Raw genomic sequence first — 27,796 nt, 5'->3', positions numbered from 1 at the left:
TCCTGCCTCAGCCTCCCAAGTAGCTGGGATTACAGGCGCACACCACCAAACACAGCTGATTTTTATATTTTTAGTCGACAGGGTTTCACCATGTTGGCCAGGCTGGTCTCAAACTCCTGACCTCAGGTGATCCGCCTGCCTCAGCCTCCCAAAATGCTGAGATTACAGGGGTGAGCCACCGGCCCCCACCACTTCTCTGAGCCAGTGTCCACATCTGTGAAATGGGTGGAAGGCTGGTGTGAGAAATGAGAATACGCATCAAGTTCCTGTTCACACTAAGTTCTCAAAAAACGAGGTCCTTCTCCTTTTCTCATCTCTAGAATACGCTGTTACTCTCTGGATGAAGTAGGTGATTCCTGAATGGTGTCAGAGCAGTTTGCACTATCATGTGCCAGTGTGCAGCAGTTTAATCTGTAGAAGCCACTGGAAGCCTTATGACCCGAGGCTGAAAACTGAGGGTGAGAATTGCCTTGTTCTTCCTTGTACTCCCACTGCACATGGTGCTTTGTACCCACAGAGTGCTAAGTTTTGTTGGAACAAGAAATGAGATTTCTCCAATGCTACTCAAGTTCACTGGAGGGCACAGCTGCTCCTCAGAAGCCCTCACCCACAGACACATAAGCTACTGCCCTTAGGCTGCTGCCCTGGGGTCTCCAAGCCAAAGTGCTCCTCAGCCCTCCATGGCATCTGCCCCTCTGTCCAATGTCAGGCAGAGGCTCCCAGGGATGGGAAATAGGAGGGGCTCCTAATAGTGACAGTGGCTGAAGAACTCCAGGGTGGTTTTGAGAATGCAATGGCAGCCTTAGCCACTGGAGGAGGACTAACCAGAAAGAGTGAGGAAGAGTCCAGGCCTGGCCTCAGACAGGCCGCAGTGCTCAGCCTTCCTTTTACCCTGATGAGTGTTCTCCCAGTGTCAGGAAGAGGGCAGAACTCTCTGTCAGGTCTTTGAGTCAACTGAATTGAGGAAGGAGGGCTGGACACCAGCCAGAGCCCCCAGGTAAGCGCTGGCATCAGCACGACACAGGACTCAGAGAGCACAGAGTTAACACGCTCCTGCCGAGTCCCAAAGAGTCACGAGTGTGAAAATGCCGAGTGTGGGCACGCAGCCCTAGCCAGAGCCCTGCCTGGTGAGGCTGCTCTTATAATTTGGGAATCTGCTCAATTTTCTAAAAGAAAGCTCTGTTCTACTACACTCAGCATCAAGGGACAGCTCGGCTGTTTATTAAGTCAGTAGAAAAATGACTGTACAGGTTTAAGGTGCAGGAATGAAGATGGGGCAGACTGGGCCCCAGCATCTGAGGCCCCACCCCCATGCCAGAGAGCTCCAGTCCAGAGCCTGAAGTGTGGTCAGCACATGTGAGCTATCTGGATGTCCAGGAATATCTAAGTGTGCTGCCCCCGTAGGAGGCACTGGAATTCCTTGCCCAGCAGCTGGGCCTAAAGAGAAGAGGCTGAGGAAGCCAGGCCCTAGAAACGGCCCAGCACGGTGGCTAACAGAGCCATGCGGATGTACATGCCGTTCTCAGCCTGGCGGAAGTAGGCTGCGCGGGGATCCGAGTCCACTTCCACGCTGCAAAAAAAAAAAAAAAAAAAAAGGAAGTGTTATCGTGCAGCCCATGGATGGCTTGTCCAGGACTAAGTCTCCTCCCGTCCACCAGCCCCGAGGCAGTCTCTGACTCTGATGCTGCACCACCTTATCTCGTTGACACGGGGCATCGGGTGCATCACCACCATCTTCTTCTTGGCCCGGGTCATGATGTGGGGAGTGAGGATGAACTGACCAAAGCACTGCAAAGCAGATGGGGTCCCCATTAGTGCCTTGGGGTAGGAGTGGCTACAGAGGACACAAGTCTGGGCTCCACTGGGGTCCCCTCCACACCCACATGCAGCTATGGCAATTGACAGATGTGAAGTTTAACAGCTCTGACCCAGCCCTCAGCCCAGCCTTTCTGTCCTCATATCTGATGCCCTACGGCAGCAGCCCTGGCTTCTTCCTCAAGCCCAGCACTCACAGCTTCGTACTCCTGGGTAGAGCCAAATCGTTCCTTCTGGATTCGAGTCATGTAGAGCACATCAGTGTCAGGCAGCGCCTCCTCAATGCTCTCGAATTCCTCCTGGAGGGTGAGGAGAGCCATGGTGGATGCAGCGCTGGGCTCTGACTGCCCAACCCACATCTCCATGGCTTCCAGGCAGGGCTGTGAGGGTCTCACCTGCTTGGTGCCGCGGGAGGCCACGAAGGCCCGCACAGTGGGTGGCATGCGCAGGCTGGGAGGTGCCACGTAGCGCAGGCTGACACGATACTGGGTGAGCAGGCAGGCCAGGGAATGTACTGTGCGTCCGTGCTTCAGGTCACCCACCATCGTGATCTAGGAGAGGAATCCAGTCACCACAGGGATCCCAGACTGAGTGCCCCCCGACATCATTTCCAAGCTTTTAAAAGCCTCTGGAGCAGAATGAAGGCCTCCTTGATGCAGCTGTCCTGTACCGGGGTAACCACTTCCTGCCTCCCTCTCTAGATCGTCCCCTGGCAGGGATCCAAACCCTGCCACCACCCTCACCGTCATGCCATTGACAGTTCCCAGCTCCTCACGGATGGTGAAGATGTCCAGCAGGGCCTGGGTGGGGTGCTCTCCGACCCCATCCCCAGCATTGATCACTGGCCTCCGGCAGTGCTTGGCGGCCAGCTGGAAAAAAGGGGAAAATCCTGTCTTTTGCAGCTCAGAGGCCCCCCAACTGCCAGTCCCCCTCTTCTGGGGTCCCCTCACTCATCTGGCCCAAAACACAGAAAACGTGGGCAGAAGGGTTCTCATGCCCCTGGGTCCAGCCTTCTTAACCCCATCTCAGTACCCAGGCTGGCCTCACCTCCACTGCTCCAGGCTGGGGGTGCCGGAGCACGACGACGTCGGCATAGCAGCTCATGGTCTGCACGGAGTCAGCCAGGGATTCGCCCTTCTGGACGGACGATGTGGCTTCCGAGAAGCTGAGCACAGCACCTCCCAGCCGGGCCATGGCTGCTGCAAAGGAGCTGCTGGTCCGTGTGCTCACTTCATAGAACATGGAGGCCATGACCTTCCCCTAGGGAAAGAGCAAGATGGAAGGTGTACGTATGCGTGTCCACCCTGGGGAAACCCCAGCTAGGCACCACCACCCCAACTGACACTTGAGGGGTGCTGTGAGGACCCTTCTGCACCCAAACCTCCCCTGTGACCTGTCAGAGCCTTGACGTTTCCACCACTGGTGTCACTCTGAGCTAAAGGCTCTGCCTCCAGAAAACCACCCATCATTAAGTGTCTGAACGAGCTGGGAAAGGAGGACACACCCTAGCTCTCTCCCATGATTGCAGCAGCCCAGACCAGAAGACCCCACTAGTGGGGCGATGGTCTCATGCTCAGGGCCTCCCCAGCCAGCTAAATCCTGCTTTGGGGAGGGAAAACGTGGGGGAAGATCTACAGCAGCAGAGGGATGGACTAGCATAAGGGGACGGGATGGCAGGGGGAGGAAGACCCACTCTGACCACTGCGCGGCCCTGCGCTGATGCGGCCCAAGGGCAGGCGATGGCCTGGACCCTACCCCCGGCCCTGATCCTGACCTTCAGGATGTCGAGGCTCCGCTCCTTCTGCACCATCATACGCAGTGTGTGTGCCACATTGAACAGGTGAGACATCTAAGAAAGAGCCCAAGTTAGCTAGAAAGGTCCTAGCCCCAGCTTTCCAAATCCTCAAAGCTCTGGGTGGTCCCATCCTCCCTGCCCCAGGCACCTGATCCTTGGTGAACTGCTGGACGGACAGGATATGTTGGCCCACTAATGAGTGCAGCAGGGGTGAGGTCTGGGGGTGCAGCAAGCCAGGGGTCCCCAGGTTCTGGGGAGATGCCTGTCTCGGTACTGGTGGTGGAGGGTAGCAGGTGCCATCAGGGGTTCCCATCAGCTCTGCAGTGAGGGATGGGGCAGAAAAGGCTGGTCAGAGGGTTCCTCCTACCAAGGCCAGATCAGAGGTCCCCGAGGTGAGTGTGTGTCAGGGTGGAGTCTCACCTGGCTCGGCTACCTTCCGAGAGGACTTCTCCTTTGGCTCCTCAGCTGCAAACAGGACAAGAGGACAGATATACATTTATGGCTGAGGTTTGGAAAGAAACCCCATATTCCCAGGAACTCTGAATCACAGTGTATATGTTAAACCAATTCACAACACAGTAATATAGCAGGTTAGGGGAGGGCAGGGGACTGCAGCAGCTCTGGGGACAGACAGGTGGCTTCCCATGGGGCTGTGTTGTATGGGAGCAGTGGTGCCCTCCCGGGGCTCTCCCAGTTGGCAAAGGCATCCTAGGCAAGAGGAACGGCCAGACTCACACCAACCAACAACCTGGATTTACCCCACGCTCTGCTGCCCCGTGGGATCCCAGCTCCTGGGCGGAGGAACACAGCTGCCCACAACAAAAAAGGGCATGTGAGAAGCTGTGAGATGTCTACTCACACCGGGGAGACTTGTTTAGGCAAAGGATGGCACGGCAGATCAGACGAGGATAAAGGGATGGAGAGGAGGACATGTAAGTAGAGAAAGGCGAGGCACTGGGAAGAAGTGGATCCTGTCCCTACACAGTCTCTGAGTCACAGGAACCCCACTCTTACCTGGCAAACCTGGGTCGGAGGCTCGATGGATTCGGGGCGGCAGATGGAAGCGGCCATCAGGAAGCCCTGGGATGCCACGGCGGGGTCTTTCAGGTGTCTGGAGGGATAACGTTGGCCCAGAGTTGTTTTTTTTTTTTTCTTTTGAGACGGAGTCTCGTTCTGTCGCTCAGGCTGGAGTGCAGTGGCGTGACCTTCTGGGTTCAAGCAATTCTCCTGCCTCAGCCTCCCAAGTAGCTGGGATTACAGATGTGCACCACCACGCCTGGCTAATTTTTTTATTTTTAGTAGAGATGGGGTTTCACCATGTTGGCTAGGCTGGTCTTAAACTCCTGACCTCAGATGATCCGCCTGCCTTGGCCTCCCAAAGTGCTGGGATTACAAGTGTGAGCCACCACATCTGGCCTGGCCCAGCATTTTAAAAAAATAATTGACCCAACCCCACTTCAAATTCAGTCCCTCAAGAAAACCCCAATTGTTCCTGAACCACCAATGAAAATGTTCAAGCTGTTCATCCTGCCCTGAGACTAACACCTCCCAGCCCCCTAGCCCAGTAGTGTGGATACCGTGGTCATCTCACTAGTGGCAGGGGCTGAGGGTGGGAGCTGAGGAACAGCCCCCTGTGGCCACTTCCGTACATCCTGTCCATAGCCCGGGGGTACCAGAACCTGCAGGCAGAAGGCAGGGCACTCAGGAGGGAGCAGAGAGAACTCAGGTCCTAAAGGGGTAGATGTCAGCAAGGACAAAAAGCACCTTGGGGGAGCTGTGCCCCCAACCCCTGGTCCAGGGCAGTGGTGCACATAGTGGGACAGTGTAGATGTGCTGGGAAGGGAAGAAATGAACGTGGTGCAGAAGAGGGCACTACTGAGATCAGGCAGGGGCTACTTGCGTACCTGCCCATCGATATAGGCAACCTCCCCTCGCAGGACCACACGGCGGACGGTGCCCTTCACTTTCTGCCCTTCAAAAGGTGTCCAGTGGGCCTTGGAGAAGGGCATGTGGCTGGGAATTGTCCACTCATGCTCCAGATCCACCTGCCCAGAGGACATGGGTTATGCTAGGGAAAGGATCCCCAGAGAACATATCCTAGGGCTGGAGAGCCCCCCTCCTGCTCTGGGCCTCATCCCCACACCTCCACATAGGTGTCCTCCTGCGGGGGCAGGTGAAAGATGCGCCGAGGATTGTGGTGCAATCGCTGCAGCAGGTCGTCCAGGCTGAGCCGGCCCTCGCTTACAGCCGTCAGGAGTAGTGGCAGCATGGTCTCTAACCCTGGGAACCCAGGTGGGGGCCTGGACCCACACTTCTCCTCCAAGGTATGGGGAGCTGGGAGAAAGAAAGCCATTACCCTCAGGACCAATCACCTCCATGTCTAGGAAGTCACTCACACCCCAGGACTGCACTTCCAACAACCTCCTTATGCTCACTACCACTCCCAATGCTCATTTTTTCTGGGAACTAGAAACAAGGGCAACAGGACTGCTGCCATCTTCTGGAGCCCACACTTTTACCCATGTATTCTTTCACTTGCAGTTCTACTCACTGGCTCATTCATTCTTTCAACAAGTATTTATCAGGCACCTATCACAGACCAGGTACCCTAGAGGCTAGGGTCCCATACGGATCAAGACCCTGTCCTAGTAGAGTCCTGAGGCCTGGCCTGCTTCCCATTTTCTTGCTAGGGCTGTCCCACAAGCCCCACTGGGCAGAGGAGGTACATGCTGGATTCTCTCACCATGGTCTGAGGCAAAGCAGTCGATGACAGCCATGTTCTCCCACAGGGCTTCCACATCCTGGCGGGAGCCAAGCTCAGGCCGGACCTCCCCCTTCCCAGGCCCCAGGCGCTCCAGGTCATCATGGCTTAGGAACAGGTGGTGGGGAGCCACCTCGCAGGTCACTGGCAAGCCCCGTGCCTTTGCAGCTTTAATTAGCAGGATCTGGGGAACAATGGGAAGATCCAGAAGAGGCACCACCCATATGCCTTGCCCTACACAAAGTCCCAATGGCCAACATCCCTGCTCAAAAAATGATGATGTAGACCTGCAAGGGTGCTGGCTCGAGACCCTCCTCCTGCTGTCTCCAGACTCTCCTCCTGCTGTCTCCTGCCCCTAAGGACTACCCTGACCTTTGGTGTTACTGGGAAAGCAACAGGGACAGCAGGATCTCAGGTGTACTCTTACCTCCTCCTTCCGTGCCACGTGACATATGTGCACTGAGCGCTGAGTGAGCTGAGCCACCATGAGGACAGCAGCCACGGTTTGCTGCTCTGCGTGAGCCACAATGGGGAGGTGGGAGGGCCATGTCTCGAAATGCTGGGAGCAGAAAGAACTGATGAAGGAGTGTGCAGAATCTCTGACTGTGCTCATCAGAGCCCAGAGTCCCCAGGAGCTCCCCTGAATCCTCACTGCTACCAGCCCACTTAGGCAGGGGCCCACAAGCCAGGAGACACTGGGTGGTGGCCTCCTGCCACATGCACACTCCCTACCTCCATCCACTGGACCACGCTGTCCAGCCGCAGCTCAGAGAAGGTCTCATTGAGGTAAAGCTTCAGCCCGGCTGCAGACCCGGCCACGGTGCCCAAGGTTCCTGCATTTTCAGACGAGGCCCCAAGGAATAGCGCAAAGTCGCACCGGGCGCCAGCCTCTGCCAGCTGGAGAGGATACACAGAGGTAAGGCTCACTGGCACCCATGCCCACACAGGCTAGCCTGGCACCAGTGGCCTGGGCCCATAGGGCGGGGCAGAAGGAAAAGGGCTCAGGGAAGCAAGGGTGGCTGGTAGGGGCATATGGGTCTCCAATACCAGGAAGAGTGCAGTGGCTCACCTTCTGGGCCAGGGCCAGAGCAGGGGCGTCAATGATGGGGGGCCGGGTATTAGGCATGGCACACACCATGGTGATACCCCCAGCCAGGGCAGCGGCTGTGCCTGAAGCAAAGTCCTCCTTATGTGTCCCACCTGGTTCCCGCAGGTGCACATGGACATCAATCAATCCTGGGAGAAAATGGAAGCAGCAAGATTACAGGAAGATTCAGAAATAGGAAGGGTGAGCTGGACATGGTGGCTCACGCCTGTAATCCTAGCACTTTGGGAGGCCGAGGTGGGCAGATCACCTGAGATCAGGAGTTCGAGACCAACCTGACCAACATGGTGAAACCCCGTCTCTACTAAAAACACAAAAATTAGCCTGGTGTGGTAGCACACACCTGTAATCCCAGCTACTTGGGAGGCTGAGGCAGGAAAATCGCTTGAACCTGGGAGGCGGAGGTTGCAGTGAGCCGATATCACACACCACTGCACTCCAACCTGGGCGATGGAGTAAGACTCTGTCTCAAAAAAAAAAAAAAAAAAAAAATTCCTCAGACAAGGCCACTGTGGACACTGTGGATTAAGGAATGAAAGAGTGAGAAACATTCTGGGGTCTTCACAGTCTGTGCAGTCCAGGACAAAGAGTGGGCCCCCCAGCCATCCTTCACCACACTGCAGGTCTCTATGCCAGGGGCTGCCAGTGTTCAGAAGCCAAGTTCTCCCCAAAGACTTACCCGGCAGTCGCACAAGCTTTTGGGAGGTCATACAGTCAACATGCACCTTCAAAGGAGGGGCTGGCCCGATCTGGCCTAGGGCCTGCAAGTGGAAAGCAGTCAGCTTTAAGGGAAGGGTGATCCTGGGAGTTGTAGGGAGAGATGTGGTTTTCCCATAAACCAGGCTCTGCACACTCTATACCCACCATCTCTCCCTCTGTAGCCACAAAGCTTTATTACTAGCATGGCTGTTCCATACTCACTCCTCCCTCTTTCTTCTTCCCATCAACACTGGCAGTCTCCCTCCCAGCACATGGGTCTCAGTTACCTCCACAAAGAGTTTGGTGCACTTGATATCGATGATTAGGGGCACGGAGAAGTCAGCGGCCAAGCGTCGGGTGCGGTAGCCCTTGGTGACAAAGGAAGAGAGACGCCGGCCCCCAGCTCCACGCATTGACAGGTTAATCACCAGCTCAAAGTTTTTCTCAGCTAGCTGCTCCAGGATGCTCCGCTGTGGTGGGCACTCACCATCCACAGCCTCCTCAAAGTGCCAGTCCACAGCTGTTACCTGCCAACCCGGAGTCAAGGTCAGGGCCAAGCTGTCTGGCAGCGGTCAGGAAGGCTAGCCTTAAGGGAGAGGAGCTGGCCCAGGAGCCCATGATGAGGAGACTGAGGACCCATAGGGTGGGCACTGAGGGCTGCCTCTATTTGATACTGGCAAAGTGTATTTCTTGGCAGGAAAGATATCTACACTAAGTAAGATGGGTTACCAAGGACTAGGTGCAGTATGAGCTCACACACATGTACACAGAGAAAATCCTGGAAGGAAAAATATCAGAACAGTGGTACAGAGATTTTAAGAGACTTTTCTCTTTGCTTCCTGTGTATTCTGCTTTCTGCATGGAATATAGCTTACTAGTATAATGGTAATAATAAAAGCAGGGGAATAGGAGATAATTCTTTGTTTTTTTTTTTTTTGAGACAGCATCTCACTGTTTCCCAAGCTGGAGTGCAGTGGTGCACTCACTGCACACTCGCAGCTCACTGCAGCCTCTACCTCCTGGGCTCAAGAGATTCTCCTGCCTTAGCCTCCTGAGTATCTGGGACTACAGGTATATGCCACCGTGCCCAGCCCAGATAATTCTTTGGTGCAGTATTTTCACCCCCTTGGGGAAGGGCAGCAGTGGGGTAGGTTGCCAGAGTTCCTGCACCTTGACGCCATGCTCAGTGTAGAAGTCAGCTGTGCCGAGACTGGCATAGAGGCTGTAGCCCAGGCTCTCCAGTAGCCGCACAGTTGGGAGCAGCTCGCTTTTGTTCTGAAACCAAACAGAAGGATGAAATTGTTTTCTTCCTGTCTTCCATTTCAAGGTCAGCCCTGGCCCAGGGAGCCACGGCCCTCGGGAAGCCCTCCTGGATTCTGATACCTTATAGCTGCCAATGGTCAGCAGGATATTCTTCTTGGGGATCTTAAAGCCAGTGCTTAGCATGGCCTTGAGGTATGCCTCACAGCGGCTCTCCCCAAAGCCGGCCACCTCCCCAGTACTGGTCATTTCCACACCCAACACCACGTCAGCACCCGCCAAGCGGGAGAAGGAGAACTGAGGCACCTAAAGGGGCGGGAGGGAAGAGAGAGGGCCAAGGTGTGAGAGGACCTCCTCCCTCACCAGCAGAGACGGACACAGTACCCTGTGCTTGATCCCATCTGAATGGCAGGGTCAGCCTGCCCTCTCTGTGTGCCCTCCTGCTTTCCAAACGTACTTGGGGTCATCCCTCAGCTTCTGCTTAGGATGTGCCCTTGCAAATAAAAAACCTTAACCATCCTTCAAAACTCAATTCAAATAGCACCCCTTCGCTCAAGCCTTCCCAGATCACCCCTTTTGGAAGCAGCACCTCCTGTCTCTTGAACTCCTGCAGCATTCTGTTTACAGGTCGAATATGTAGTTTTACCACGGACTGTTCTATACCAAAGCTTTTTTGGGGATCCAACTTCTCTTCCCTCCCATTACCATAAAGTAAGCTCTTAAGGGACAATGACCACCTCATTACCCCCACGATCCGGCAATGCCTTGCAGTCAGTGCCTGGTTTACATACTGACAACTCTGTGTGGTGAGTGAACTCTCTCCCGCTATTTTTCTGCTAACCCCAAGGGTTTCGATATTCCTTACCTTTACTCCCACGACTCCAGAACCAGTCATTAGCCCCACAGGTTCCACTTCTTCCCCCATGATGACCCGCGTGGCCAAGGCTACTAGGTCCACACCCAGTGTCTTGGAAACGAAGGGGAAGGAGCGAGAGACACGTACGTTGCATTCAATAACTTTCAGCTGGTCATCCTGGGGCAGAGAAGACTGGTCAGGCCTTCTGCAGGTTGGCCTTGCTGACACTATCTATAGGCCTAGACTCTTCCTCTCCGTCCTCAGCTCTGGGGGATCAGACTGAGCAGGGTTCAGGGTCACTGACTGTCATAAGCCCCAACACCATGAGCTCTAGCTACAGCCCTTTCCCTCCAGCTTCCCTGCCTACTTGGATGAAGGCAGGAGACAGTGCAGGGCTTCATGGCACTGTGGCCAGCACAGAACATGCAAGAGCTGTGGCCCTTTAGTTCTTTCCTTTAGCCTTATTACCTTGGCAATGAGCTGCAGATTGAAGGGTCCTGTGACCTGTAGCTCCTGGCCCACAGCATGCACAATGGCTTTGATCCGCTCCAGGGTTTTGGCAGTGATATCTTGTGGGGGGGTCACCAGCGTCGCATCACCTGAATGCACACCTGCATTCTCCACATGCTCAGAGATGGCGATGGCTGCCACCACACCATCAGAGGCCACGGCATCCACGTCAATCTCCTAGCGGGGGGACACAGACAGTGGGACATAGGGCCACTTTCTTCTCTCACTTACTCTAGGATTGTCTCTTCCTTTAACGAGCCCCACATAGCCCACTGTTCCCAGCCCTGGTGCCTATGATTCTGCTGGACCAGAGAAGGAAGTCTCCTCCAGGGCTGGCAGCATGCCCTCAGAGACTTCACTGTCTGCAGCCTCCCACCTTAGCCTCCTGGATGAACTTGGAGATGACCACGGGATGCTCTTTGGAGACGGCTGCTGCGCTGCTCAGGAAGCGCTCCAGGTCTCCATCCGTGTAGGCCACATTCATAGCAGCACCGCTCAGCACATAGGAGGGGCGCACCACACAGGGGTACCCCACGGTCTGGCAGAATTGGCGAGCAGACTACAGGAGGCAGGGAGCTTAGCTGAGTTGTTCACACTTTCCCCCAAGCATCATCCAGCCTCCGGGTAACCCACCAGGTCCCAGCCCACCTCGAGGTCACTGAGCTCCCTCCACTGAGGCTGGCTGATACCAATGGTGTCAAGGAGCCGGGAAAACTTGAAACGGTTCTCAGCCGAGTCAATGGCTTCAGGGGAGGTGCCCAGCACCCGGCACTGCTGCCGATGCAACGCCATGGCCATGTTGTTGGGCAGCTGTCCACCCATGGATAGGATCACACCTTCAGGGTTCTCGAGCTCATAGATGTCCATCACCACCTACGTTGCAGGGGGAGAAACAAGTGGTGGCAGCAAAAGAGGGCAGGAATCTGAGCCTTCCTGCTCACTGCTTCCCTCAGCCGCCACCAAGTTTCAAAGAATCTTAGGTCAGCCAGCTGTTCTACTCGACCCTGGCCACTCAAGCTACCAGGAAGCCTCCATCTCCCTCACCTCAAAAGAGATCTCATCAAAGTAGAGTCGATCACACATGTCATAGTCGGTGCTGACTGTCTCTGGGTTATAGTTCACCATGATGGTCTTATATCCCATCTGCAAGAGGGAGGGGAAGGGTACTTAGCAGTCAGGTGGGAGGAAAATCGTGGAGAAAATCGTGGAGAAACTAAGCCAAAGCCCCTACTTCAGAGACTGCCAGCACAGCTTCCTCTGAAAGAGCTGTACAGGACCCCTGCCTTGGGAGGGAAGGAGGTACAAAGTGTTGGGGAAGAGATTCATATACCGTGTGGGGCATGAGAGATGGCCTAAAAGGACCCCCACCCCAAAGCTCTATGACCAAAGTAAGGGACGGCAATTAATAGGAAATGCCAGGATTAGTGCCAAGCAATTGCTAGAGATGAACAGAATAGCAAGGAAAGTGGAAAGAAAATGAACTCTCTGACCTTTCGGAGCTGCTGGATGCAGCCTACAGCACACCAGTCAAATTCAACGCTAGAGCCAATACGGTAGACGCCAGAGCCAAGGACTAGGACATGAGGTGTTCGAAAGGTGAGGTCATGGGTGGTGCCCCAATACGTTAGGTATAGGTAATTTGTCTGGGCTGGCCACTCAGCTGCAACTGTGTCAATCTGTTTCACTGCTGGACAGATCCCCAGTTCCTGACGCAGCTTGCGAACAGCCAGCTCTGTGCTAAAATAGAAAAAGGGTCTGAAACACAGGCCCAGAGAGTAGGGTACAGACTGATAGAGGGTTGAGACCCCAGGGCACAGATGAGAGGAAATATCCTTGGAACCAAGGTCAGAAGCCTCTAAAGCTCTCCCACACTCTCCTTCCTCCCTCCCAAGGGTCCCTCACTGATACAAAGGTTCTGCCCCACATTTCCCAGCCGGAAGCTCTCATTGCCACCTCTGACCTCAGAACTGCAAGGGCAATCTGTTTGTCTGAGAAGCCAAGACACTTGGCCTGTTGCAGCAGGTCTGGCGGCAAAGGCTGTCCACGGTGTTGTTCTAGCAGCTGGGCATGTGCGATGATACGCTTCATTCGGTGCAGGAACCAGCGGTCGATGCGTGTGAGCTCATACAGGCGGTCCACTGAATAACCAGCCCACAAAGCAGCTGCCACCACAAAAATCCGCTTATCTGTTGGAGTCTCCAACTCCTGATAGAAAGGGGGTAGACAGACGGAAGCTACTGCCAGCCCATCTAAAAGCCTGAGCGTAAGTAGCTGCTCTTGTCTCAGGAAGGGGAAACTGTACACCAGAGCACAGGCTGTGTAACTGCAAAAACCTGGATACCAATCCTGGGTCTACCTCTCATTGGCTATGTGGCTTTGAGTAATTTCTATAACCTATGTCTCAGTTTCCTCATCTGTAAAAACAAGTCTAGTAATACACCCTTGCGTGCTAATGAGACATCTCAAAATTCTCAGCAAAGTGGAAACAAAGCAAATGTCCAATGATGACTGCTGCTAGTGTTACTGGTAACAAGCTCATGGTCTGGGGGCGATGAGAAGCAGGGTCTATTTTAGGGGTATTGCCAGGGGAGGGGAGCTACTTACCATATCGCTGACTGGTTTCACTGTGTGATCAAAGCCCACACAGTTCTCATCCACCATGCGCAGGGCCTTCTGGAAGGCCTCCTCAAATGAACGCCCAATGCCCATGACTTCACCTGGAAGAACAGAATGGAAGGAATGAAGGTGTGGAGGTGGAAGGGGTGGGAAGAAGGCACTGCCCATAATGCTTATGGTTTATAGTCAAGACTCTGGGAGATTCTCAAGGCAAGTCACATGATGGTGGGATTCATGGTGTTTCACAACTAAGAAATCTTAATGGCCGGGCGCAGTGGCTCACGCCTGTAATCCCAGCACTTTGGGAGGCTGAGGCGGAAGGATCACGAGGTCAGGAGATCGAGACCATCCTGGCTAACATGGTGAAACCCCGTCTCTACTAAAAATACAAAAAAATTAGCCGGGAGTGGTGGCGGGCGCCTGTAGCCCCAGCTACTCCAGAGGCTGAGGCAGGAAAATGGCGTGAACCCGGGAGGTGGAGCTTGCAGTGAGCAGCGATCACACCATTGCACTCCAGCCCGGGGAACAAAGCGAGACTCCGTCTCAAACAAAACAAAACAAACAAACAAACAAAAAGAAATCTTAACTTATAGCTCTTTTCCCTGCTATTTTCATGGATAAGCTCAGGCTTTGTGCTTATTGATGAATATGGAATCAATATGCCTAAAACGGGCATGGGGATACTGGAATATATCCCCATACACTGGATACTGGAAGTTTATCACAGTGGCCCAAACCACTGATGGCTGTCCAGTTATTGGGTTTGATTTATTCACATAATCATAACACCAACTGGAATTCTTTAAAACTTTTTAAAAAAGTGTAGATAATAGGAAGATGATCCTTACTACTCATCCATGCAGAGCAAATCACATTTACAACAATCATTTTAGAGTTTCTCTTTCTGGACTTTTCTTCATAGGTTCATAGGTTTTTTTTTTTTAGATGGACTTTCGCTCTTGTTGCCCAGGCTGGAATGCAATGGCACGGTCTCGACTCACTGCAACCTCTGCTTCCTGGGTTCAAGAGATTCTCCTGCCTCAGCCTCCTGAGTAGCTGTGATTACAGGTGCGTGTCACCATGTCTGGCTAATTAGAGACGGGATTTCACCATGTTGGCCAAGCTGGTCTCAAACTCCTGACCCCGTGATCCACCCGCCTCGGCCTCCCAAAGTGCTGGGGTTACAGGCGTGAGCCACCGTGCCGGGCCCTTCATAGGTATGTTTTACATATCATCACAGCATACATATAATTTCCATCCTGTGTTTTTTCCTCATCATACATTTTCCCACATTGCCACATGGCCTCATCAACACCAACTTAATTCTTTCTTGAGACGGAGTTTCTCTCATCACCCACGCTGGACTGCAATGGCATGATCTCAGCTCAGTGTAACCTGTGCCTCCTGGGTTCAAGTGATTCTCCTGCCTCAGCCTCCCAAGTAGCTGGGATTACAGGCACCTGCCACCATGCCTGGGTAATTTTTGTATTTTTAGTAGAGACGGGGTTTCACCATGTTGGCCAGGCTGGTCTCGAACTCCCAACCTCAGGTGATCCACCTGCCTCGGCCTCCCAAAGTGCTGGGATTACAGGCGTGTGCCACTGCGCCCAACCAACTAACTTAATTCTTGTATGATCTGCCATAATTTAACTACTAACTGAAGGACATTTAGCTTTTTTTTTTTTTTTTTTTCTGAGACGTAGTCTCACTGTGTTGCCCAGGCTGGAGTCAGTGGTGCAATCTCAGCTCACTGCAACCTCTGCTTCCTGAGGTCAAGCGATTCTCCTGCCTCAGCCTCCTGAGTAGCTGGGACTACAGGTGCGTGCCACCATGCCTAGCTAATTTTTGTATATTTTCTAGAGATGGGGTTTCACCATATTGGCCAGGCTAGTCTCAAACTCCTGACCTCATGATATGCCCACCTCACCCTCCCAATGTGCTGGGATTACAGGCATGAGCCACCGCGCCCGGCCCATTTCGCTTTTAAGTGTTTACAATTAGGCAGTCCTGGTGGCTCTCACCTGTAATCCAACACTTTGGAAGGCTGAGGCAGAAGGATCACCTAAGGCAGATTGAGACCAGCCGGCACAACATAGTGAGACCTCCCTCTCTACAAATAATAATTAAAAAAAAAAATTAGCAAGGTGTGGTGGTGTACACCTGTAGTCTCACTCCTCAGAAGGATGGGGTGGGAGATTACTTAAGCCTAGAAGATCCAAGCTGCAGTGAGCTAAGTCACACCATTGCACTCCACCCTGGGTGACAGAATAAAACTCCGTATTAAAAAAAAAAGTTTTCATAATTATAAGTTAGGCTGTGATGTTTTCTTTCTTTTTTAACGAGACAGGGTCGGCCGGGCATGGTGACTCATGCCTGTAATCCCAGCACTTTGGGAGGCCGAGGCAGGCGGATCACGAGGTTAAGAGATCGAGACCATCCTAAGCAGTATGATGAAACCCCCGTCTCTACTAAAAATACAAAAATTAGCTGGGCGTGGTTGTGCGCGCCTGTAGTCCCAGCTACTCAGGAGGCTGAGGCAGGTGAATCGCTTGAACCTGGGAGGCAGAGGTTGCAGTGAGCCGAGATAGCACCACTGCACTCCAGCCTGGCGACAGAGGAAGACTCTGCCTCAAAAAAAAAAAAAAAGAAAAAAAAAAAAGAAAAGAAAAAAGAGACAGGGTCTCGGCCAGGCACAGTGGCCTGTAATCCCAGCACTTTGGGAGGCCAAAGGTGGGTGGATCACCTGAGCACGGGCGTTCAAGACCAGCCTGACCAACAGGGAGAAACCCTGTCTCTATTAAAATACAAAATTAGCCAGGCGTGATGGCACATGCCTGTAATCCCAGTTACTCTGGAGGCTGAGACAGGAGAATCACTTGAACCCAGGAGGCAGAGATTGTGGTGAGCCGAGATCACACCATTGCACTCCAGCCTGGGCAACAAGAATGAAAATCCGTCTCAAACAAACAAACAAACAAAAAAGACAGGGTCTTAGCCTGGCACCCAGACTGGAATGCAGTGGTACAATCACAGCTCACTGCAACCTTGAACTCGTGGGCTCAAGCGATCCTCCCACCTGAGCTTTCCAAAGTGCTGGGATTAATTACAACCACCGTGCCTGGACTGGATATGATGTTTTCTGTTTTGGATAATCTCCTTAGGATAAATTTCCAGATATGTAGAGGCAATAGGTAACACAAATTTTATAGCCCTTGATGAGTACGAATAACTTTATAGAAGTCTGTGCTTCATAATACAAAGTTTAAGCAACCTTCTAAGAAGTGGGCATAAACAGAGTCTCATTTAACTAGATTTCTATTTACTAATGAGAGGAACCGTCTTTTCTCTAGGTTTGCTTATTGATTTCTTCTTCTGTAAAGTGTTGTTCATCTCCTCTGACTATTTACTCTAGGGGCTTAAGTATTTCTTACCAAGTGTATTTTTCTATTTACAATCCTAACATTTACATTTCTTTAAAAAAGTTTTAAAAACACTACGATGTTAACAGTAGTGTGACTGATTTTGTTCAATTTCTTTGTAACTGTGGTTGTAAGACTTTTTATTTTGAGATTTGTTAAAAAAGGAGAAGCCTAATACATGCATACACATATGCCTAGAAATGTATGCAGTCGTAGATACACGGCTGAATTATGCAGTCGCAGATACACGGTCGAATTAATCAATCTCTGTAAGGCAAGATTACAGGTGACTACTGTTCTTTGGTTAAACTATCTTTCCTCGTTTTCCATGATTCATGTTTCTTACTTGTATAATAAAAGTTACAAAAAGTTACCAAAGAAGACCACATTCCAAGAATACTTGAACAGATGTAAAACAATTAAATGTCTCATCTAGGAACCAATCTTTCATTGGCCTATTTTCAATCCACTTCTTTTTGCCACAATTTAATTATGGCTTCATTCCCATGTTTATTCTAATTTTCATATAACAGAGATTCATCTCCAGAAGGAAAAAATTGGCAGTCTTGCAGAATTTCTAAAAATTCTGAAATAATATCTGAGCTTAGACTTACTTGTTTAAAGGCCACTACTGCTCTAAATGGAAATCTGGAGCACCACAAAATGCTCTTATCCATCAGGCTGGTGGCGCTGTGTCTGGTACACGTATATTTTTGTTTTGGTTGAAATGTGTTAGAGGACGGTCTTCGGCAACTAAAGGGATACCACAAAGAAACATACTAACTCAATTCTAACATGCTCTGCCACTGCTGGGTAACGTTACGGCCATTCATCATTCACTAATAAATTTCCTTGTTACCAAAAAGGTTTATGATGCCCTGCTCTGATGTAAACATCATACTAAAAAAAAAGGTCATTTAGTGACCAAAGCACAAAGTGCCAGAGGAGGAGATACTGCAAAAATGAGATGAGATAGTCTGATGGCTTGCACCTATCCCAGAGATTCTGTATTCCAACACAGATTTCCAGATGCCTCCCCAACTCCTGACAAGGACTATAATCTTAGTTTGAAATGTCTCAAGCACCTGCTCCCATAGGACGTAAAAGGCCATGCCAGGGAACTCTTGACATTTAAGATTCTTGGTCATGGTGGGGCCCCATGGGGGTGCCCAGGGCATGAGTCTCACCAACGCTCTTCATGCAGCTCCCAATCTTTGTGCTGACTCGCAGGAACTTGCTAAGGTCCCATCGAGGAATCTTCACCACACAATAATCCACGCTGGGTTCAAAGGCTGCTGTACCCCCTGTCACAGAGTTCCTGGGGTCCAGCAGGTGGGATGCCAGAAGGACAGTGAAGGAAGCATAAAGGGTGAGCTTCCGGATAGCTCTTTCCATTCCCACAAATCCAGGCCAATGTCCTTTTCATATTCCCTGTCCCATCAATATTTTCCTCAGCCCCCGACCCACTTCCCCACTGTGATATCTCCCTCATCCTCGTACCTGAGCTCAGGCAAAGGGATGCCCAATGCTAGCTTGGCTGCCACATAAGCCAGTGGATAACCTGTGGCCTTACTGGCCAGGGCAGAGCTGCGAGAGAGCCTGGCATTCACTTCAATGATGTAATACTGCAAAGAAGGAGAATAAAGTCACTGGCCTAGAAGACCCTGTCTAGGAGAGGTCTCAGAAAGGAGAGAAAAGTAACCTAGTAAAGAAGATTCCAGCTTGTACTCCAGGGACTGTAAGCCCAAAAGACCTCAACCTCAAGGGCCAAAAATTATACAAGAAGAGGGGGTAACAACTAGACTATCAGTTCCAGGGCCTAGAGCTTACCTGCTCAGACTCAGGGTTCAAGGCATACTGCACATTGCACTCCCCAACAATTCCCAGGTGCTGGGTCACCTTGATAGCTGTCTGCCTCAGGAGCTGATACTCCCTGTCATTCAGTGTCTGGCTAGGGGCCACCACTATGGACTCACCAGTGTGGATGCCCAGTGGGTCCAAGTTCTCCATGTTACACACCTGTGAAGGGGGGTGCCATGGAGGTCACTGCCAAGCAGAGTCAGGAGAGGCAGAAGGCTGCACCCCAGGGTCCTGTTACCTCTGGGGCTGCACCTAACCTGGGTCTGAGGGACATACAACTCTCAAAGACCTTGGCCTGGGCCTCTGCTCTTCCAAAAGCTCATCCTGCCTGACACGACGCCCACCCTTCCCCCATTCACTCACCGTGACACAGTTGCCATAGGCGTCTCTCACCACCTCGTACTCAATCTCCTTCCATCCCTTCAGAGACTTGTCTACTAGCACTTGGCTGGTATGGGCAAAAGCTGGGGCCACGAGAGCAGAGAGCTCCTCCCTGTTAGAGGCAAAGCCAGAGCCCAGGCCACCCAGGGCAAAGGCTGCACGCACTAGCACAGGGTACCCCAGCCGTTCAGCGGCTGCCTGGGCCTGCAATGAGTGGAAGAGATGAACAAACAGGTTATTTCCTACTGTCCAAGGTGTGCCTGTCCCACATAAAAAAAGATATAAAGAAAATAACATGGCTGGGCATAGTGGCTCACGCCTGTAACCCCAGCAATTTGGGAGGCCGAGGGTCGGGGGGGTGGATCACCTGAGGTCAGGAGTTCGAGATCAGCCTGACCAACATGGAGAAACCCCGTCTCTACTAAAAATACAAAATTAGCTGGGCATGGTGGCGCATGCCAGTAATCCCAGCTACTCAGGAAGCTGAGGCAGGAGAGTCGCTTGAATCTGGGAGGTGGAGGTTATGATGAGCCGAGATCACGCCACTGTACTCCAGCCTGCGCAACAAGAGCGAAACTCCGTCTCAAAAAAAAAAAAAAAAAAAAGAAAATAACACTACCAAAAAAAACACCACCATTCTTCCTTTACCCAAACACCCCTCCAACCTGTTCAAGAGAATTTGCTGCCTCGCTCGGGGCCACATGCTCTCCGATCTCTGCCATTCTGGCAGCAAAGGCCCGTCGATCCTCGGTCAGCTCAATGGTCTCCACTGGTGTGCCCAGGACCCGGACCCCATACCGAGCCAGCACCCCGGCCTTGGTCAGCTCCACACCACAGTTCAGAGCAGTCTGGCCCCCAAAAGTCAGTAACACACCATCGGGGCGTTCATTACGTATCACCTGAGGATGGAGAGGGGAGTTACAGGCATCAGAACCTTGTGGGTAGAGAGGCAATCAAAGTTTAATAACCCACAGTGACCACTGGGCCCCCCTGCCCAGTCCTCTTTTCATTCCAGCCTTGCCCCAGTCATACCTGGGTTACATAATGAGGTGTTATGGGAAGAAAATAGACCTTGTCGGCCAGCCCCTGGGAGGTCTGCACTGTGGCAATATTGGGGTTGATCAGCAACGTCTGGATGTTTTCCTCCTTCAGGGCCTTAATTGCCTAAAAGGACAAGAATGGCATCTCAGCCTCTGCTGAAGAAGCAAAATTGCAAACAGCCTTAGAGTAGCATTCTCCTCTTCTTTCCCTCCCTGTACTCTTGGCCCCTAATAATTGACTTCTATTTCTTACTACATCTTTCTCTACATTCCCCAAATCTGGTTCATTTCCTCCCTGCAACCTTAGCCCTTCTCCTTAAGACCCTTTCCATTCTTGAGGGTCACACGCCCAGAAGGGTGGGGAGGAACATGCCTCACCTGAGAGCCCGAGTAGTCAAATTCTCCAGCTTGGCCAATGGAGAGGCCCCCTGAGCCCAGGATCAGAACCTTTCGTGGTGGTGGAAGTCCAGAGCCGGGAGTGGGAATCCCAGGGGGACAGAGGCGCTCAGTCAGCCGCTCTCTAACTGTGGAAGCAAAGAAGGTCGTAGAATGTTAGAGCTGAGCTGGACCCAAGAGGTCAACTGGATTAGCTCCCTCGCTTTCAGAAGAGTCCAGAGCAAATTATGCACCTCAGGAGGAGCAGAGGGAGGACCAGAACCCAGGACCCTGGAGTTCCTTTCAACAGAAGCTTAAACGGTATCTTGGGTTGGTTGCCACCCATCCCCAATACCCTTAACCTCCTAGACATCTAGGAGTTGCCCAGGGCATGTCCACCTTATGCCCATCCTGGAGCCAACCCTGTTCTTAGGTCCACAACCCAGTTCTACTCAGGATCTTACCTGTCTGGCCCCCAGGGTTCCCAGCTGTGGCCTCTTTCACAGTTTCCAGAAAGATATCGAAAAGCAGTTCCATATCTGAAGGGCCAGCTTGGTGCTCTGGGTGAAACTGGACACTATTGAAGAGATTGCATCATGAAAACCATCATGGTCCCTGGCATGACACTGGCAGCCTCGAGGTGGGTAGTGGGACAGGGGACTCGGATCCACTGCCGTGCTTTACTTTTCCATCATCAAGGCCCACAGGGCTTCAAATTTTCACAGACCCAGTCAACCAGGCTCACCTGAAGAAAGGCAAGCTGTTGTGCACAATGCCTTCATTGGAACCATCATTGGCGTTGGTGAAGAGAGGAGCCCAGTCTGCTGGCAGTGAGTCTGTCTCCACAGCAAACCCATGGTTCTGGGATGTCAGAAAGCAGCGCCCAGAGCCCACCAACAAGCAGGGCTGGTTATGGCCTCGGTTCCCATATCTGGAGGTAGAAGCATGCCGAGTCACAGGCCCTGCTCACCCTCTCTTCACTACTGAACCTACCCCAGCTCTCACCGATCTCCTGTTCTCAGTAGCCTCACTCCTGTTTCCTTTTTGTTTTTTTTTTTTTTTTGAGACGGAGTCTCCCTCTGTTTCCCGGGCTGGAGGGCAATGGCACGATCTCCGCTCACTGCAACCTCCACCTCCCAGGTTCAAGCGATTCTCCTGCCTCAGCCTCTGGAGTAGCTGGGATTACAGGCGCACGCCACCATGGCTGGCCAACTTTTGTATTTTTAGTAGAGACAGAGTTTCACCATGTTGGCCAGGCTGGTCTCGAACTCCTGACCTCCAGTGATCCGCCCACCTTGGCCTCCCAAAGTGCTGGGATTACAGGTGGGAGCCACCTCACCTGCAACCCCCCCGCTCCTATTTCAACACGAATAAACACCAACTCTCTTCTCATTCCTGAGACACCCCACCCCTCATGCCACAAGTATGGGCCCCTTCTGCTCCCCACAAGTCCCACCTCATCTTGTAAGTCTTGGCCCCAATGGCTAAGGCCAATAGCTGGTGTCCCAGGCAGATCCCAAAGACAGGTCGGGGATTAGGCTCAGATAAAACACGGCTCAGTGTGGATACGACACTGGGATAGGAGGCAGGGTCACCAGGCCCATTACTTAAGAAGAGACCCTCATACTCTGGAGTGGGCAGAAAAGATGACATCAAAATCAGTATTTCAATTACAGGAGACACACCTGCAGCCCCCCCAGCCCATGAGAGTGTTAAGTCCCAATGTCTATCTTCTTCACTGCAACTCCTACTGACTTTTAGCAATTGGACCAAGGGATAGATCTTCCACCCAAGCTGCTTGTCTGAGGCCCTGAACAGGCCCCAGCTACTCACCTTGGCTGTCTAGTGCATGGTCCCAGGGTACCACAGTGACCTCAGCCCCACGCTGGCAGAGGCATCGGATCTGATTATACTTGAGGCCACAGTCCAAAGCAAGGATCCGAGGGGCACCCCCTGTATTGAATACCCGTGGAGTCTGAGAAATAGACGAATAAAGGGCAACAGTTGGCAGCTGTGCTCAGTGGGTATAAGATATGCCTGCACCAACTCCTACCTTCAAAGCCTCCTTTGATTCTCTCCTGTGTTCACCCCCCAATTGTGGGCAGAATATAACTACTGTGCTAGAGCTTGCAACACTCTCCCACTCTACCTCTGTACCTTAATGGAGACCTCTGGTACCAGGGGGCGGGCATTGGGGTCCAAGAATGGCAGGGATGAAGGTTCTGTTCCATTCTGGACCAGCTTCCCCAGCAGAGACCCCTGTTCCCGCAACTTCTTGGTCAGCTCCCGAGTGTCTACTCCTGTCAAAATAGCACAGTCTTAGGGATCACATTCCTACAACTCAGTCATCTGTGAGGTTAGACTTCCAGAAGCACTTCCATTCCAGAGCCCCAGTCACACACAGCTGTTCTATGTGCATCAAAATCCTGGGCCATTGTGACAGAAGTATACTACCATGAAGTATTCCTGCCAAAAATATCACATCTGAATTGAACAACTCTAAATCTATCCATTTATAGAAAATAATATAAAGGGAAAAAAAGAATACGCTAAGTAACACTACAGGAGTGTAACCAAGTAAGTGCAGACTATGGGATACTAGATACAGGAAAAATGACCTGTTTTCAAATAGGTTACAAGGTCCACAGATTAAGAGACTTATCAACCAAATGCAATGTGTGAACCCTGTTTAGAGCAAGATTCAAATGAACAGAAAAAAAAAAAAAAAAAAAAAAAAAAATTGGGAAATTTTAAACATTGCCTGGACACTTGTATTAGGGAATTATTAATTTTTTTAGTGTATGACGTTATTATGATCATGTTTTTTAAAGATTCCTTTTGCATAGATATTGAACTATTTGTAGATGAAATGATATGATGTCTGAGATTTGCATCAAAATAATCCAGTGGTGGTGATGAAATAAGATTAGCCCTAAGCTGATGATTATGGAAGGTGGGAGTTCCTTCCTGTGTTGGAAATTTTCTTTCTGAGTGATAGTTCAATTCTTTCTCCCAGCCCAACTCCAATCTAAACCTTCCAACTATCACAATCTTAGAGTCAGGTCCCAGCAGATTACAGAAACCTTGATTCTTTCCATCCAGGCATGCTGTGCTCTGCCCAAATATGCCCCTGCTTGCCACCATACCTTGCAAGCCAGGGATGCCATGCTGCTGCAGCCACTCATGCAGGGTGCGGGTGGCACTCCAGTGGCTGGGAGTAGGACAGCACTCTCCCACTACCAGTGCTGCTACGTGGATGCCCGAGGATTCAAACCACTGTAGATGGAAAGAGATTGTGAGAAGCCTCAGGCCAAGTTATTTCTTTGCAGCATTTTCCCGATTGTGTGGCCACAGACCCTATATTCAGCCACATTGAATGGCCTTCAATATACCAAACTTTTGGTGCTTTTGCATAGGTATTTCCATTTACCAACAACGCTCTCTCCTATACGAAACACAACCCACAGGCCCAGGGTGCCCCGATGATCACTGAAAATGACATTTTCCTTTTTATTTATTTATTATTTATTTTTTTTGAGACAGAGTCTCACTCTGTCACCCAGGCTGCAATGCAGTGGCGACATCTAAGCTCACTGCAACCTCTGCCTCCCGGATTCAAGCAATTCTCTTGCTTTAGCCTCCCGAGTAGCTGGGACTACAGGCGCCCGCCACCACACCCGGCTAATTTTTTGTATTTTTAGTAGAGACGGGGTTTCACCATGTTAGCCAGGATGGTCTCAGATCTCCTGACCTTGTGATCTGCCCACCTCAGCCTCCCAAAGTGCTGGGATTACAGGAGTGAGCCATCGCACCTAGCCATTCCTTTTTTTTTTTTTTGAGACAGGGTCTTGCTGTTATCCAGGCTGGAGTGCAGAGTACAGTGGCACAAATACACGGTTCACTACAGCCTCAATCTCCTGGGCTCAAGTGATTCTCCCACCTCAGACTCCTGAGTAGTTGGGACCACAGGTGTGGATCATCACACCTGGCTAATTTTTTGAATTTTTTGTAGTGACAGCGTCTCACCATGTTGCCAGGCTGCTCTCAAACTTCCTGGGCTCAAGCGATCCCCCCACCTCAGCCTTCCAAAGTGCTGGGATTACAAGTCATGAGCTACCGCGCCCCGCCTCTTTCTTCCTTTATCTAAAACTGAAATCACAAATCCTTTCTCTGTGAAGCCCCTCCCACTCACCCAATACAGCTTGTGCCTCCATCTTAGAGCTGTTTTAATACTTTATTTCCTCTCTTGCTATTTACGTCATATGATGAATATGTATTTGTGTCTTTGTCACGAAACAGAGAACTCAAGAGCAAGGCACATGGTGTCAGTCAGACATTTATTGAGGTGCAGGCATTGCAAAAGATGCTGAGAAAAGAGCAATGAGCAAAAAAAGATGAGGTTCCTGTCTTCATGATGTTTATTTCTGACTTAGGGAGCTAGAAAACAAGGTAACACCCATATAAATATTAATTATAGAGTGTGATTAAAAACTGAGTAAGATAGGGAGGTACAAAATACCCCATTACCAAATAAAAAACAAAGGTTCAGGGCACAATACTAAGCATGCCTCCCAAACTTCATTTGGGATTATTTAAAAAAGAAAAGGCCAGGCGCGGTGGCTCACGCCTGTAATCCCAGCGCTTTGGGAGGCCGAGGTGGGCAGATCACCTGTGATCGGGAGTTCAAAACCAGCCTGACCAACATGGAGAAACCCTGTCTCTACTAAAAATACAAAATTAGCTGGGAATGGTAGCCCATGCCTGTAATCCCAGCTACTCGGGAGGCTGAGGTGGGAGAATAGCTTGAACCCGGGAGGCGGAGGTTGCAGTGAGCCAAGGTTGCCCATTGCACTCCAACCTGAGCAACAAGAAAGAAACTCTACCTCAAAGCAAAATAAAAATAAAAAAAAATTAAATAAAAAAAGATAACATACAAGCCTGGGCAATGTGACAATACCCGGTCTCTACAAAAAATACAAAAAAAGTAGCCAGGCATGGCGGCAGGTGCCTGTAGTCCCAGCTACTTGGGGGGTTGAGGTGGGAGGACTACTTGAGCTCAGGTGGCAGAGGCTGCAAGTGAGCCATGATTATGCCACTGCACTCCAGCCTGGGTGACAAAGTGAGACCTTGTCCCCAAAAAAAAAACAAAAACCATAAACTTGTTACTCAATAGATAAGCGTTTAATAGCTACATAGAAACAGAAAGTTTATGTGGGAGGGATCAGCATATTTAAACTGCATTCAGCTGGGTGATGAACAGTTTAAGGAACCTGCATTCTGAGACTGTCCAGGGATCTGAAGGATAGTTTGGCAGAACCCTCCCTGGCCAGGTGGAGTAATCCATTTATATGTGCGAGTGGCTCCAAGAGGCCTTTCCCACCCTGATCCTAATCAGGCCTCAATTTTGTAGTTTTATAAACTCAATTTAGTCAGTGTGTCTAGAGTTGACAAAGGTGATGACTGACAAAGGTTAACCAAATTCACAAGAATTCACTATCAACTAGAATGCAGTGTATTTGTAGGTTTGTGATGAACCTAGAAATTCTTTTCCAGGAAGAACAACATGTACGTCCTTTATCCGGAGCTCACTCTCCCCAGCGTCAGGGTGGCTGGGAAGGCAAATTAAGAATTAAAGGCTTACACCTGCAGTGAGGCCAAACAAATTTTGAGAGATACTACTCTAGGCCAGATTGACTTCCTCTATTACCTTAATTACTATATGTTGGGTTTTTTTTAATGCTTGAACTGTCAGAGGGCAACTTAGTTTCCAAATTTCAGAGGTGAAGGAATAGGGGAAACCTCACTGTAGGAAGAAACTCAGTTTTCTCACCTAGAGGTAAGAACACAACTGAAAAGCAGAGAATCAGACGAGGCCATGTCAGTAGGTCTAGAAGATAATGTCACTGGTTTTGTAGGTAAACTGGCACTCACTGTCACAGAGAAGTATGTGACCCTAGTTTCCAGTCTCTTTCCACTAATTTATGTAGTCCTAAAAAGCACTGCTCCCATCTGACTCTGCTGCTAAAAAAAAACCTTCAATGGATCCTTTACCAAACTAAGCTGACTCTGCTTTGGCTTCAGGTCCCTCCATGCCCACCGGATTTAACTTATCTGCAGGCTTTTTTCTCCTGACTTCTGCATGCCTAACAAGTTGGACAAGGCTGTTCCCTTACACCTCTTTTACTTTTCCTTGATCCATGCCTTCACTACATACAGAATGCTTTCAGCTATACCTGGAGCCTTGATGCCCTTAACAAAGGCGGTAGCTTTTTCCTGAGGCCTCCAACACTCTGTGCCTCCCAAGGCACTTAACAACCCCTAACTACAGTTACTAGTGATCTTAGTCCTTGACTTTACTACTTCAGTGGGTATGTTTTCTGCAGGATGCCCAGCAGGGTGTCAACGTCTCCTACTTCACTAATAGTTAACAATTACTGACTTGAAAAGGAATGTAGAGAAAGCACTGGGTGTGGCTACCTTGCAGAGACCGAACTCATCCATTTCATCTGGGGGGATGCCATAGTTGCCGATCAGAGGATAGGTGAGCACTAAGATCTGTGCCTTGTAGGAGGGATCAGTGAGGGCCTCGGGGTAGCCGACCATGCCGGTTTGAAACACTGCAAGAAAGAAGCAGGGCTGGGCTCCGGTAGGGCACCCTTCGGAACACTCCCCGCGCGATGAGCACGCCCCAGTGGAGGCTGCCTTGGTCGCGAGGGGTTTATGGCGCTGGGGCCCATGGGCACCGAATGGGGGAAGGGGGTACGCTGGCGGGAAAATGGCGGGGTCTGGACGGGGAAGGTTGGGAGGAGAGGCGCATCACAGAGTGGGATAAGGTCTGCAGCCTAACCGGGCTTGCTTACCCACTTCCCCGGCAGTCGACACGGCGGCCCCAAAGGGCTGGCCCCGCAGGACCGACCCGTCCTCCAACACTAGGGCCGCCATGGGAAGGGAGCTCAGAGGCGGGGGCGAGTACGGAGAAGCGGGAAGGACTGCAAACTCCACTGGAACCACGTGAGGACGGCGCGCCGGAGTCGGTCCACGTGGCTAACGGCGCGGGGCGCTGGAGAGAAGCCGGGCGCGGCAGCGTAGGAGCCTCGGGCGCGCTTGGCGGCAGCAGCAGAGACTGCGGCGGCGCGGACACAGGCGGCGTGAGGGGCGGGGCCGGGCACGTAAGGGGCGGGGTCCGCGGAGCCACGGGGAGTGGGCCCCCGTGGTCTCCGCACTGCAAAACCGGGGGAAACCTGAAAAAACCGGCTGCCCTAAAGCAGTCCCTCCCACCCCAAGCAAGAAACACGTAAAGGCAG

General features: G+C 51.3%; 1 protein-coding gene across 4 annotated transcripts, besides 3 other annotated features; it reads right to left on the bottom strand.

Annotated features, from left to right (window-relative positions):
• CAD (carbamoyl-phosphate synthetase 2, aspartate transcarbamylase, and dihydroorotase) lies at positions 1,043-27,617 on the bottom strand. 4 transcript variants are annotated; one of them, XM_047445803.1, is made up of 45 exons: positions 27,353-27,617; positions 26,970-27,109; positions 23,639-23,768; positions 22,650-22,792; positions 22,326-22,467; positions 21,949-22,120; positions 21,238-21,423; positions 20,957-21,069; positions 20,496-20,641; positions 20,110-20,241; positions 19,743-19,976; positions 19,060-19,281; positions 18,667-18,855; positions 18,337-18,461; positions 18,024-18,154; positions 13,406-13,518; positions 12,762-13,006; positions 12,292-12,538; positions 11,846-11,944; positions 11,450-11,674; positions 11,178-11,360; positions 10,760-10,978; positions 10,301-10,468; positions 9,559-9,741; positions 9,346-9,450; positions 8,463-8,702; positions 8,156-8,237; positions 7,441-7,607; positions 7,104-7,268; positions 6,799-6,930; positions 6,354-6,555; positions 5,754-5,944; positions 5,515-5,655; positions 5,188-5,289; positions 4,625-4,721; positions 4,369-4,419; positions 4,031-4,075; positions 3,759-3,928; positions 3,590-3,664; positions 2,863-3,075; positions 2,559-2,684; positions 2,211-2,366; positions 2,013-2,114; positions 1,694-1,788; positions 1,043-1,570 (listed from the first exon to the last, which is right to left on the bottom strand). In XM_047445803.1, exons 1-45 carry the CDS (start codon positions 27,432-27,434, stop codon positions 1,468-1,470), a joined length of 6,729 nt encoding a protein of 2,242 aa, XP_047301759.1. In that variant the 5' UTR covers positions 27,435-27,617; the 3' UTR covers positions 1,043-1,467. The 4 variants fall into 4 exon arrangements, with proteins under 4 accessions (XP_047301759.1, NP_004332.2, XP_006712164.1 ...); NM_004341.5 differs by lacking the exon at positions 4,369-4,419; XM_006712101.4 differs by lacking the exon at positions 18,667-18,855.
• Positions 1,150-2,349: an enhancer, noted in NCBI's record as "CDK7 strongly-dependent group 2 enhancer chr2:27465505-27466704 (GRCh37/hg19 assembly coordinates)". NCBI's record gives its function as "activates an origin of replication core promoter dependent on BRD2, BRD4, P300/CBP, MED14 and CDK7 cofactors, with strong dependence on CDK7, by STARR-seq in HCT116 cells {active_cell/tissue: HCT116}" and the evidence as "EXISTENCE:reporter gene assay evidence [ECO:0000049][PMID:35650434]".
• Positions 12,305-13,504: an enhancer, noted in NCBI's record as "BRD4-independent group 4 enhancer chr2:27454350-27455549 (GRCh37/hg19 assembly coordinates)". NCBI's record gives its function as "activates an origin of replication core promoter dependent on BRD2, P300/CBP, MED14 and CDK7 cofactors, and independent of BRD4, by STARR-seq in HCT116 cells {active_cell/tissue: HCT116}" and the evidence as "EXISTENCE:reporter gene assay evidence [ECO:0000049][PMID:35650434]".
• Positions 27,516-27,745: a silencer, noted in NCBI's record as "silent region_11291". NCBI's record gives its function as "represses an Ori minimal core promoter by ATAC-STARR-seq in GM12878 lymphoblastoid cells {active_cell/tissue: GM12878}" and the evidence as "EXISTENCE:reporter gene assay evidence [ECO:0000049][PMID:35858748]".

This window comes from Homo sapiens, chromosome 2 (genome assembly GCF_000001405.40).
Source record: "Homo sapiens chromosome 2, GRCh38.p14 Primary Assembly".
In the NCBI taxonomy this organism is placed as follows: Eukaryota; Metazoa; Chordata; class Mammalia; order Primates; family Hominidae; genus Homo; species Homo sapiens.
This window is presented reverse-complemented; position numbering and strand designations above follow the sequence as displayed.

What these genes read in the sequence shown, in the direction of transcription:
- CAD (XM_047445803.1), bottom strand. Translation starts at nt 27,434, where the DNA reads ATGGCGGCCCTAGTGTTGGAGGACGGGTCGGTCCTGCGGGGCCAGCCC. An exon ending in GTCGACTGCCGGGGAAGTGG is followed by an intron (nt 27,110 to 27,352) that starts GTAAGCAAGCCC and finishes TCTTTCTTGCAG; the next exon opens with TGTTTCAAACCGGCATGGTC. An exon ending in ATTGCCCTTGCAGTTCTGAG is followed by an intron (nt 12,539 to 12,761) that starts GTCAGAGGTGGC and finishes TTTCTATTTTAG; the next exon opens with CACAGAGCTGGCTGTTCGCA.